Here is a 12,611-nt window from a genome sequence, read left to right as displayed (position 1 = left end):
GATATTGGTCTAAAATTCTCTTTTTTGGTTGTGTCTCTGCCTGGCTTTGGTATCAGGGTGATGCTGGCCTCATAAAATGAGTTAGGGAGGATTCCCTCTTTTTCTATTGATTGGAATAGTTTCAGAAGGAATGGTACCAGTTCCTCCTTGTACCTCTGGTAGAATTCGGCTGTGAATCCATCTGGTCCTGGACTCTTTTTGGTTGGTTACCTATTGATTATTGCCACAATTTCAGATCCTGTTATTGGTCTATTCAGAGATTCAACTTCTTCCTGGTTTAGTCTTGGGAGGGTGTATTGTCGAGGAACTTATCCATTTCTTCTAGATTTTCTAGTTTATTTGTGTAGAGGTGTTTGTAGTATTCTTTGATGGTAGTTTGTATTTCTGTGGGATAGGTGGCGATATCCCCTTTATCATTTTTTATTGTGTCTATTTGATTCTTCTTTTTTTCTTTATTAGTCTTGCTAGCGGTCTATCAATTTTGTTGATCCTTTCAAAAAACCAGCTCCTGGATTCATTAATTTTTGAAGGGTTTTTTTTGTCTCTATTTCCTTCAGTTCTGCTCTGATTTTAGTTATTTCTTGCCTTCTGCTAGCTTTTGAATGTGTTTGCTCTTGCTTTTCTAGTTCTTTTAATTGTGATGTTAGGGTGTCACTTTTGGATCTTTCCTGCTTTCTCTTGTGGGCATTTAGTGCTGTAAATTTCCCTCTACACACTGCTTTGAATGTGTCCCAGAGATTCTGGTATGTTGTGTCTTTGTTCTCGTTGGTTTCAAAGAACATCTTTATTTCTGCCTTCATTTCGTTATGTACCCAGTAGTCATTCAGGAGCAGGTTGTTCAGTTTCCATGTAGTTGAGTGGTTTTGAGTGAGTTTCTTAATCCTGAGTTCTAGTTTGATTGCACTGTGGTCTGAGAGACAGTTTGTTATAATTTCTGATCATTTACATTTGCTGAGGAGAGCTTTACTTCCAACTATGTGGTCAATTTTGGAATAGGTGTGGTGTGGTGCTGAAAAAAATGTATATTGTGTTGATTTGGGGTGGAGAGTTCTGTAGATGTCTATTAGGCCTGCTTGGTGCAGAGCTGAGTTCAATTCCTCGGTAACCTTGTTAACTTTCTGTCTCGTTGATCTGTCTAATGTTGACAGTGGGGTGTTAAAGTCTCCTATTATTATTATGTGTGAGTCTAAGTCTCTTTGTAGGTCACTCAGGACTTGCTTTATGAATCTGGGTGCTCCTGTATTGGGTGCATATATATTTAGGATAGTTAGCTCTTCTTGTTGAATTGATCCCTTTACCATTATGTAATGGCCTTCTTTGTCTCTTTTGATCTTTGTTGTTTTAAAGTCTGTTTTATCAGAGACTAGGATTGCAACCCCTGCCTTTTTTTGATTTCCATTTGCTTGGTAGAGCTTCCTCCATGCTTTTATTTTGAGCCTATGTGTGTCTCTGCACGTGAGATGTGTTTCCTGAATACAGCACACTGATGGGTCTTGACTCTTTATACAATTTACCAGTCTGTGTCTTTTAATTGGAGCATTTAGTCCATTTACATTTAAAGTTAATATTGTTATGTGTGAATTTGACCCTGTCATTATGATGTTAGCTGGTTATTTTGCTTGTTAGTTGATGCAGTTTCTTCCTAGTCTCGATGGTCTTTACATTTTGGCATGATTTTGCAGTGGCTGGTACTGGTTGTTCCTTTCCATGTTTAGTGCTTCCTTCAGGAGCTCTTTTAGGGCAGGCCTGGTGGTGACAAAAATCTCTCAGCATTTGCTTCTCTGTAAAGTATTTTATTTCTCCTTCACTTATGAAGCTTAGTTTGGCTGGATATGAAATTCTGGGTTGAAAATTCTTTTCTTTAAGAATGTTGAATATTGGCCCCCACTCTCTTCTGGCTTGTAGAGTTTCTGCCGAGAGATCCGCTGTTAGTCTGATGGGCTTCCCTTTGTGGGTAACCCGACCTTTCTCTCTGGCTGCCCTTAACATTTTTTCCTTCATTTCGACTTTGGTGAACCTGACAATTATGTGTCTTGGAGTTGCTCTTCTCGAGGAGTATCTTTGTGGCGTTCTCTGTATTTCCTGAATCTGAATGTTGACCTGCCTTGCTAGATTGGGGAAGTTCTCCTGGATAATATCCTGCAGAGTGTTTTCCAACTGGGTTCCATTCTCCCTGTCACTTTCAGGTACACCAATCAGATGCAGATTTGGTCTTTTCACATAGTCCCATATTTCTTGGAGGCTTTGTTCGTTTCTTTTTATTCTTTTTTCTCTAAGCTTCCCTTCTCTTTTCATTTCATTCATTTAATCTTCCATCACTGATACCCTTTCTTCCAGTTGATCCCATTGGCTCCTGAGGCTTCTGCATTCTTCATGTAGTTCTCGAGCCTTGGCTTTCAGCTCCATCAGCTCCTTTAAGCACTTCTCTGTATTGGTTATTCTAGTTATACCTTCGTCTAAATTTTTTTCAAAGTTTTCAACTTCTTTGCCTTTGGTTTGAATTTCCTCCTGTAGCTCGGAGTAGTTTGATCGTCTGAAGCCTTCTTGTCTCAATTCGTCAAAGTCATTCTCTGTCCAGCTTTGTTCCGTTGCTGGTGAGGAGCTGCATTCCTTTGGAGGAGGAGAGGCGCTCTGCTTTTTAGAGTTTACAGTTTTTCTGCTCCGTTTTTTCCCCATCTTTGTGGTTTTATCTACTTTTGGTCTTTGATGATGGTGATGTACAGATGGGTTTTTGGTGTGGATGTCCTTTCTGTTTGTTGGTTTTCCTTCTAACAGACAGGACCCTCAGCTGCAGGTCTGTTGGAGTTTGCTAGAGGTCCACTCCAGACCCTGTTTGCCTGGGTATCAGCAGCAGTGTCTGCAGAACCGTGGATTTTCGTGAACTGCGAATGCTGCCGTCTGATCCTTCCTCTGGAAGTTTTGTCTCAGAGGAATACCTGGCCGTGTGAGGTGTCAGTCTGCCCCTACTGGGGGGTGCCTCCCATTTAGGCTGCTCAGGGGTCACAGGTCAGGGACCCACTTGAGGAGGCAGTCTGCCCGTTCTCAGATCTCCAGCTGCATGCTGGGAGAACCACTGCTCTCTTCAAAGCTGTCAGACAGGGACATTTAAGTCTGCAGAGGTTACTGCTGTCTTTTTGTTTGTCTGTGCCCTGCCCCCAGAGGTGGAGCCTACAGAGGCAGGCAGGCCTCCTTGAGCTGTGGTGGGCTCCACCCAGTTCGAGCTTCCTGGCTGCTTTGTTTACCTAAGTGAGCCTGGACAATGGTGGGCGCCCCTCCCCCAGCCTCGCTGCCACCTTGCAGTTTGATCTCAAACTGCTGTGCTAGCAATCAGCGAGACCCCGTGGGCGTAGGACCCCCTGAGCCATGTGTGGGATATAATCTCCTGGTGCGCCATTTCCTAAGCCCGTCGGAAAAGCGCAGTATTCGGGTGGGAGTGACCTGATTTTCCAGGTGCCGTCTGTCCCCCCTTTCCTTGACCAGGAAAGGGAACTCCCTGACCCCTTGCACTTCCCGAGTGAGGCAATGCCTTGCCCTGCTTCAGCTTGCGCACGGTGAGCTGCACCCACTGTCCTGTGCCCATTGTCTGGCACTCCCTAGTGAGATGAACCCGATACCTCAGATGGAAATGCAGAAATCACCCATCTTCTGCGTCGCTCACGCTGGGAGCTGTAGACCGGAGCTGTTCCTATTTGGCCATCCTGGCTCCTCCCTTGATCAAGACTGGGTTTAATTCCTAACTTTCTTGCTTACTTAGCCTTTCTTCCTCTGAAAATAATGGAGGCAGATGAAATTGCAGAAGTCATAAAAGTAAGGCTCCTCTTCCAAAAATAATGATTACATATATCCTTTTCACTAAAAAGCTATTTAGAGAGTCAATAGGGAAATATTTTCTATATTGACTTGGTTGTTATAAGCCTATCAACAATATGTAGATTGTCAGCACTGTCTTTGTGGATTGATCTCACCAAGTGGAAACTAGGAAAAGGAGCTAGCTTTTGAGGGTGTGTGGAGATGGAAATCAGAATCGGCTCATTTCATTCATTTCGTCTTCCATCACTGATACCCTTTCTTCCAGTTGATCGCATCGGCTCCTGAGGCTTCTGCATTCTTCACGTAGTTCTCAAGCCTTGGTTTTCAGCTCCATCAGCCCTTTTAAGGACTTCTCTGCATTCGTTATTCTAGGTATCCATTCGTCTAATCAACTCTGTGGATTTATTATAGTACTCAACTCCCTTGAGGCTTTTAGAGGAAAAGCAAACATGACTTTTCACTCAGGGTTCATGAAGATTTCATTAAGAACATAGGAGTTCTTCAAGCTTGAAAATAGCAAAGAGATTCTTTGAACATGATTAAATCAATTCAATTCAATGCTCATGTGACAGCTGCTGCATCAACACAGTTGATCATCACCACAGCTCCTGATTTTATTCCTACATTTCTGACCATTCCTTTTCAGTCTCTTTTATTATCTCCATAGTGATGATGTCAAGATTTGTAGTACCAGTTCAGACTTTGCTTCTGAATTTCAAGCCTAGATTTCCAATACTCCTCCCTCTTTTCACTTGGATGTTTAATAGGCATCTCGAAGGTATTAAGTCCAGAAATTAGCTCCTGAAATTCTACCCACCCAAATTCTGCTCTTTCTCAGTAGTTTAATTCTCCCAGTTATTTGGGTTCTCAAATTATTTTATCATCCTTATTTCTTCTCTTTCTCTCACACACATCCAATCTACCCACAAAATCTGTTGGTTCTACCCTCAAAACATATTTAGAATATAACCACTTTTACTCTACCCTTAGTCTAAACTATCATTATTTCTTTTTGTTTGGATTATTGCAGTGATGTCCTAACCAATCTCCCTGAAAAATTATCTGTGAAATTTATTTCTATACATCCAACAAGCACAATGAACTCTAGGTAGAATAAATTCAGTGAGGTCCACATCAAGAACATTGTAATCAAACTGTTGAATGTCAAAGACAGAGAATCTTGAAAGCAACAAGAAAGAATCAACTATCATGTACAAGGGAACCTTAGTAAGATGAACAGTTGGCTATTTATCAGGAACTATGGAAGCCAGAAAACAGTGGGCATATTTAAAGTGCTGAAAGAAAAGAACCTATCAACCAAGAATTCTGTATCTGGCAAAATTGCCCTTCAAAAGTGAGGAAGAAATTGAGATATTCCCAATAAACAAAAGCTGAGGGGTTCACTACAAGTAGACCTGCCCTGCAAGAAATGCTACAAGATGTCCTCAAGTTGAAATGAAAGGACACTAAATGGTAACTTGAAGCTGTATGAAGAAATAAAGGTCTACAGTAAAGGTAACTACATGGGCAAATATAAAAGCAAGTATTATTGTGTAGCATAATGGAGAATATATGTGGTCTCTCTGGTCTTTGTACCTGGCTCCTGGCACAGAGCTTCAAAAGCCCTTGGAATTTCCTGAGTGACAAGAGTATATTTTTTATGCTAATGAGGTGACTCTTTGTAGGTTCCTAGATAGCTTCAGAATGGGGCTGATCACCAGAAAGATCAATCACATGATTAGATGATGGCAACTTCTGGGAAGGGTATCTTTATGTCCTATATACGGGAATCCTCAAAGTCCAGGTGATGCTAATTCTGTTGGTCACTGGACCATATTTTGAGCAGCAAAGAAATAGCATAATAGCATTTGTTAAAACTGGTCAGACTGTAAGCATCACCTGAAGTGCTTATTAAAAATACCATCCAGATTACCTGACCCTACTCTACATCTGCCAAATCAGAATTAATCAACTTCTCAGGAGGCTTTTGTAATTCAATAAATTTGGGAAATGCTGAGGTAGGGCAGAGCTAAATGTGGCCCCTAAGAGATGAAGTGGTGAGTCACTGGGATAGCGCCCAAAGGGATGTGGACAGGAGCTGCTGGACATGCCCTTGGCTCTCACCTTCAAAGGGAAGTGGACTGTGTGAGTTCCCTCTCACGATTATCTCAGGTCAGTATTTGCCTTTGTAATTGATGGAGAACTTCTTAATTTCTCTCTCTAGTGCGTCTAGAGTGTTGACAGTTGTTTCCATGGACTTCAAATCAACCCAACCCTGTGAGCACAGACTTTCAGCACCAGAGTCAGATTTCCCAAAAATGCTATTCTTGAAGCGTAGAGCCAGACTCACAGATCCTGTAAAGAAAACAGATCTTTCAGCAAGTGAAACACCCAATCTTCCATTGCATGGGACTCACAGAGGTTCTGAGGGAGAGATGTGAATAGAAGGAGTGATCATCACTGTGGACTCTATTTCTTCCATCTGTGCGTGCAAGATTTATATCTGTATGTGTTTGTTTTAAAGTTTTATTGAGGTATAATTGATACACAATAATCTGTACCTATTTAATGTATACAATTTGATGAGTTTGGACATACTTAAATACCTGTGAAACCATCACCACAATCAAGGTAATAGACATAGCCATCACCTCCAAAAGTTTCTTTGTGTCCCTTTGTGGTTTGTTTCTGAGATAAGAACACTTAACATGTGGACTCTTGACACTCTCCTTGGATCTCTTAATTTGATTGCTGTTGCTGTCACCACATTGACTTCCTAGCCCTGCTGATCCTCCTTTATCACTAGCTCTAGAAAAAAAAACAAACCAAACACCACTAATTCATTTATTCAGTAATTCAACAAAAAAACCATTGAGCACTTAATATTTGCAGAATACATGGCTAGATGCAGAGGATTCAAAGAATTGAGTGAAGTCACATAAAGTGTTAAGAACAGTGTGTGATACAAACATGAAATATGTTAGCTGTTAGAATTTCAAACTCACTTCCATATCAATTATAATAAGGATTTCCATAAATAGCAGAATAGTATTTCTATTAGATGCTCACAGATGCTAATAAAACAGTAGAATGGTAAAAACCATGCATCCCCCAAGGCAAGAGAAGGTGAGCTATTTTGCCTCGGTGGCTCAATATTCCATCAATGGGTCCTGCTTTAAACTGCAAGTACCTGCCTTCCTTCTTTCAACAGACTGACTCCACGTTGCTTTAGGAAAGATTCACTGAAACAAAGGAATAAACCACCCAAGATATAGTGTTTTTAAAAACATTTTTTAATGAAGAAATTATTCCACTCCAAAATATAGACACACAATTAAATAGTTTAATCACTTCAAAATATAACATGTCCCCAGGAGGTTCCAACACACACACACACACACACACACAAAACAATACTTAACAGCAATACAAAAATCCATACAATAGTATTTTTTTTTTACAATACCAATGAATATTGTGAAATCTTTAGTGTCTCTGAATTGATTATTTCAAATGGTGTCAAATTGCAGTAGTCATAATTAAAAATGTCTTACAGTTAATTCGCCTCAAGATGCAACACTTCTGATTTTTTTTTCTCTTTTTGGTTCAAAAGTAAAAATGCCCTTTCTTCTAAGGACAGTGGAGTTCTCACTTGTGGCTCCTTGCGTGGAATCGAACCAAGGGGAATGCAGCAACCAAAGGTTGCTGGATTTACAAGATCTATCTACGGTTAACAGCCAAGAACTAATAAGGGTGGACAAAGATGATCAAAATAAAAGCAGACATCAGTGCTAAATTATGATGCAACAGTTTGGCTCATGCATATAAGAAAATACATAGTATATCACAACAAAGGCCACACACTCTTAATGCAATTCAGTTCACATTACTACTTACAAATGAACCTTCCCTGCCTTATAGTAGATCATTCAAGAACCCATTTTTCACAATCTCCAGCACAACTCCCTCTGACCAACCAAACTTACCCCAACTTCCGTCCTGACCAACCACAACTGTTTCCTGAATCCCATGCAGTAGATTTCACCTTCCTCCCCTCCTCCATTAATATGGCGCTGTGGAGGAGGGTTGGCTGTGTTAGACCAGTGCTTATTAACAGGCTATCAGCTCTGATGGAGATGGATGTGCAATTCATTGTGGAACAAGAAAGAAACAACCCCCGCAAGATGTAGTTGTATCTAATGGACAGGACAAGTGAAACTTGCTGGGTTTGCACTTAGAACAGGCCCCAAAAGTAAATCTGGAGAGCCAAGGAAAGAAACCCACCAAAAAACACAAAACCCCAAAATAACACACGCCATTTTGTCTCGCTTACAGGACAGGGGTGCTCGAGTCTGGTCTCAGTGCTGACGTGGAGCTAAGAGAGAGAAAAGGTGGCTGGTTAGTCAGAAATTGGTCATTGGCGGCAGTTTCCAGAGTCCTTGCAATGGCTTTATATGACGATATCAACAACCATGTGATGGAGTTGGTTGGCAATGAAATAGCTATGACAACGGGGAAGGTTATCAGCAGAACAGTTCAAATCTTAGACGAACATTTTGATGTAGAAACACAAAGAAACAACATATGCCAGCTCGGTCCAGTCAGTGGTGGAGTGCCACGTGCAGGATTTAAGTTCTGAGTTCAAGAACTACCTGGCTATGATTTTGAGCTGACAGCATTATAGGTAGCTGGGATGTAGTGGTTTTCAATACTGAGTATGAGGCACCAGTGGCCACCTGCTCCATCTAGAGAGGTATGGGTTCACAGAGGATGGGCAGTGGAAAAGAGATGAACATTAAGACACCCCAACAAAACCCGCAATAAAAATCAATCTGTGCAAAGAAATCTGAGAACTGTGCAGTTGTGCCACTTTGGTGTCAGCCTGTGCTCAGAGACATTTGTCAGGTGAGTTCTCTGGAGAGATATATGATTAAGTATGTCAAGGGATAGGATGGGCTTCTCACTAATGCCAATTGAGCACTTTATCCCCAAGGCAAGTGATTTGGTTTCAAAGGGCAGCCAAGGAGATGATGTCTGACCAAACGCAGACATGTGAACATCGTACAGCCGCCCTCTGCAGAGGGGGCATGAAGATGTCAGGACTTGGCTGGGCACCTACCAACTACGAACTTGGTGTGTGGGTTCAGAGAAGGTTTTTGCCAGCCCCAGAAGCAAAAGTGAATCACAGAACCTTTCTTGCTTATTCTGAATAAGGCCTTTTCAGAGACTTTATTATACGACTTCATTCTAAAGCAGTAGTTCTCAACCTTTAGCGAGCATCAGAATCACCTAGAGGGTTGACTAAAACAGACTTCTGGACCCAACCCCCAGAGCTTCTGATTCAGTAGGCCTGAGGTGGGGCTTACAAATTAGTATTTCGAAGACCTTCCTAAGTGTTGCAGATGCTGCTTGTCCGGGGAACACACTTTGAGAACTATTGTTCTAAAATGTTCTCTCCTTTCTTTTAAAGGAGAGACAGGAATTCCAGAGAAACTGCTAATTTAAGCATAATGTATTGAATAGGTCGCAGGCTTTTTTAAAAAAATCAAATCTTGAAGCAAGTAGAAGATTACTTTTTCTTTTTCCCCAGAATTCCCAAAGGAGGTCTTTAGGGCCCTCTAAAGAGGGTCCTTGGAAAAGACTATCCCAGTCTTTTATCCTCTTGTCTTTGATAGCTCTTTTGCACTTCAGCTTTTCACTGAGTGCAAAAATCCCAACTCAACTTAGAAGAGCCTGTCTCCTTTCACATGACCACAGAAGGCTACATGCAGAACACCAGGTGGCCAGCTAAGGCAATCAACATTCAGAAAAAAAGGAGAGCAAACGTTTGCAAGCGCACTTTAAGCCTGTACATTTAAAGCTGAAGGCCTCCAAACAACTTGATGGGGGAACTTGTGAACGAGCGGTGCTGTTAAAGACATGCTTCCTAAAGCCAAAACGAGAGGAACAAGACCATGGAAGAGCAGAGATAACTTTAGTCCGTTTGGGGATCTTATGGCACCTGTGGTTTATAAACAGCTTTAGTAACGAGTATTTCAAAACATAGTTCACAGTTTTTAAGAAGATCTGTGCTGATTTTAAAAACTAGATTCTATATAATTTGAATGCTGCCTTTTTTGAATATGATATCTATTTGGAAAAAAAAATATTTACACTAAATTCTATGGCTGATTAGAGTATCTTGAAAGAAAACAACCTCGAGTTGGAAAGAGGCCCCAAAGAATGGATTATTCCTGGTGTGTTTGGTTCAAGTCACTGCTCACAGAGACTTGGAGTCAACTACAGACCGTGCAGGCCAAGGACCCTTCTTGGCTTCCGGGCTCTGAGTTTGTACACTCAGGAACCAAATTCTTCAGGGTTATTGAATGATTGCAAGTGGTTGTTTTTTTCCAATTGCTGTGAAAAAAATGTACAGTGTATAATAAACTGTTTTGCTAAAATCTCAAAGAATTCAGAAATCAAACTTCTAGCTATAAACAGTATTAATATTGTCATTGTAAACTGAACAGGTTCAATATCATGTGCAAAGGTTTAAAATGCTTGTTAATACTGCCATTGTGTATAACAGCAGCATGGGTTTTCAGCCTGTGTTTGTTTGCTTTTTAACCAGGGATGAACCACGTTACAGAGGATGTAGCTGATAAGTTAACTTTGAACAGAAGTCTTTTTTTTTCCTTCTTGAAACACACACCTATGCACTACAAATCTGAGAACAAAAAGTTAGCTGCACTATAGTCATCAGGACACATCTTTAGGGGTGGGGGTCTGTCAGGAGCTGCTGGGTGTGGTGGTTCCTCTCTTCGGTGAGGCTGCTGCCAGGCTGCTGTCTTCCTCCTCTGTGTGGCCACAGGGCTCTCCATCATCACCAGTTTTCATGTTACTTTCATCATCTGTCTGACTATAGCTTGCCTGGGAATAAGGAATGTGTAATTTTTTTTAAAGATGCAAATTGTTTCTAAATTAGGGTTATGAAACTTAGGATCCCCCCTTTCCCCAATATAGAAGAAAGTGCGCGCGCACACACACACACACATGCACACACACACTCCTTTCCTACGACAATCAGGAATGAAAGTCCTAGGACACTGTGCTATTGCACCTTCTGGAAGAGAGGACAGGAAGTCCTCCATGTGGATCTCTTTCTTAGTGGGTACCAGAGGCATCTGGAGGGGAAAAGCAACACAAACAGAAATATTTGTGCTGTCTTTTGGACAAAGAGATAAAACCAGTGACCCATGATTAGGCTGCCACGTTGGTTTTTAAAAAATCTACTTTGGATGGTCCAATCCTCTAATTTCCACTTGGATGTGAGTGGCCAAGGACAGTGGTGTACCATGTGGCCACAGGATGTAACAGGGACAAATTGAATACCTAAATGGGCTAAAATTGAGTCTTGGAGGACCCTAAGCTGAGTGCCATTATGTATACCGTTTCTTCAAAAGTGGCTAGTTGAAAACCAATAAACCAGGTTTTAAACTATTCACTTTTTTTAATATTGTATGTTGAAAGTGTGTACTTATTTTCAAATAAGCCTAAAGCTCTTTTTGAGCAGAGGTTGCATCTTCTATGTCTCTGGCGTCCACCTTCTGCCTCTTCCCAATGCAAGGCTCTCTGCCTTGGCGGATGGCTAACTAATGTCAAGCTGATGAATCTGGCTTCAGAACCCTTGGATAAGAGACACATATACTTTGGGATAATTTCTGGTCTTGCAGTACAGCCAGAAAGTCTAAACAAAAATATTTTAATGAAATAAACTGGCCTAAAATGCACCTGCATTTCTTGGTTACATTAAGAAAAAGTACAATAGGATAGAACCAGCTGCAAAAATGAAAAGCCACTAGTTTTTACAACATTCTATCAGGTTTTAAATGAATTTGCCTATGTGGCTGATTGAATGACAGGCTGGTTCTTGTTCAGAGTTCTGTGGAATTCCAGCTAGGTAGGCTACAGGATGCAGTAAATGGCAAAGACTACAACAGTCTAATTTTTCACTGCCAAATTTGCAACCAAAGATTTAAAAAATGGCCTAGGAACTTCTAGAGTACTGAAATTTTTGGCTTTTAGGTACCAAATTCCACTTTTTATCTGGGTTTAACGCAAGCACATTTTATTAGACTTTCAAAAATATTTTTCTAAGAACTAGCTACTGATGTTTAAATAATGTGCAGAACAACAATGATCAAATTGCTGAAGCTAAGAGAAAGAAAGTGCTATTAAAGGAAAAGGCCTGCCCCTTGGGACTAAATTTGTTATAACTGGAGTGAATATTTTCAGAAACAGCTCCTGGGAATTTTTTCACTCTACTTGTAATGAGTCAGGAGAGCATGTGTGGTGGCACTCTCAAATCCAGGAGAGGCAGAATAGAGAGTGGTCAATGAGCTCCTTCCTCTTCGCTCATAAAATATATATGATCATAGCAATTACTCCATGATTTTCACTTGCTTAATTTTAACCTGAGGACTGAGACAGGATGTCAGTAGCATTTGCACTAGCATGTATTCTTTACTAATTAGTATGTCACTTAACAGATATTTATTCCTTTTTCAAATTATTAATAGCAACCAACATTGATAGCATTTACTGTCCACTGCAGTACAGACTTATGGGATTCCATGATTGGGAAAGCTCAAATGTTTGGGCCAGTGCAGCCAGAATCCTTTGAGAGGTATATTAGCTTTGAACTACCATGGAGGCATCTAAATGGCTATTAGCTGGAGCCAGAGAAAAAATCTAGACTTACGGAACAGTGTGGCCCACAGTGTGCCAAGTCATCACATGTAGCTGCATCCTAGCCTTGTTTA

General features: G+C 40.9%; 1 protein-coding gene and 1 long non-coding RNA gene across 56 annotated transcripts in view; one reads left to right on the top strand and one right to left on the bottom strand.

Moving 5' to 3' along the window:
* The window catches only part of LOC105372061 (uncharacterized), a 51,352-nt gene extending 44,883 nt beyond the window's left edge, over nucleotides 1–6,469 (top strand). For 5 of the 7 annotated variants that reach the window (XR_007066333.1, XR_007066334.1, XR_935370.3 and 2 more), the window contains 2 exons: nucleotides 4,841–5,325; nucleotides 6,035–6,469. This is a non-coding gene — a long non-coding RNA (uncharacterized LOC105372061). Of the gene's footprint in view, nucleotides 1–4,840 lie in introns of all 7 variants that reach the window. The other 2 variants (XR_001753406.3, XR_001753404.2) reach the window with 2 other exon arrangements.
* DTNA (dystrobrevin alpha) overlaps nucleotides 6,641–12,611 on the bottom strand; it is a 398,533-nt gene continuing 392,562 nt past the window's right edge. For 28 of the 49 annotated variants that reach the window (XM_047437332.1, XM_047437326.1, XM_047437322.1 and 25 more), the window contains one exon: nucleotides 6,641–10,719. Coding sequence is in view for 11 of the 49 variants with exons in the window: in XM_047437323.1 (XP_047293279.1) it covers nucleotides 8,045–8,185 (141 nt within the window). In the remaining 38 variants the exon portion in view is untranslated. The remainder of the gene's footprint in view (nucleotides 10,720–12,611) is intronic. The other 21 variants (XM_047437323.1, NM_001386761.1, XM_047437318.1 and 18 more) reach the window with 1 other exon arrangement.

This window comes from Homo sapiens, chromosome 18 (assembly GCF_000001405.40).
Source record: "Homo sapiens chromosome 18, GRCh38.p14 Primary Assembly".
Lineage (NCBI taxonomy): Eukaryota > Metazoa > Chordata > Mammalia > Primates > Hominidae > Homo > Homo sapiens.
This window is presented reverse-complemented; position numbering and strand designations above follow the sequence as displayed.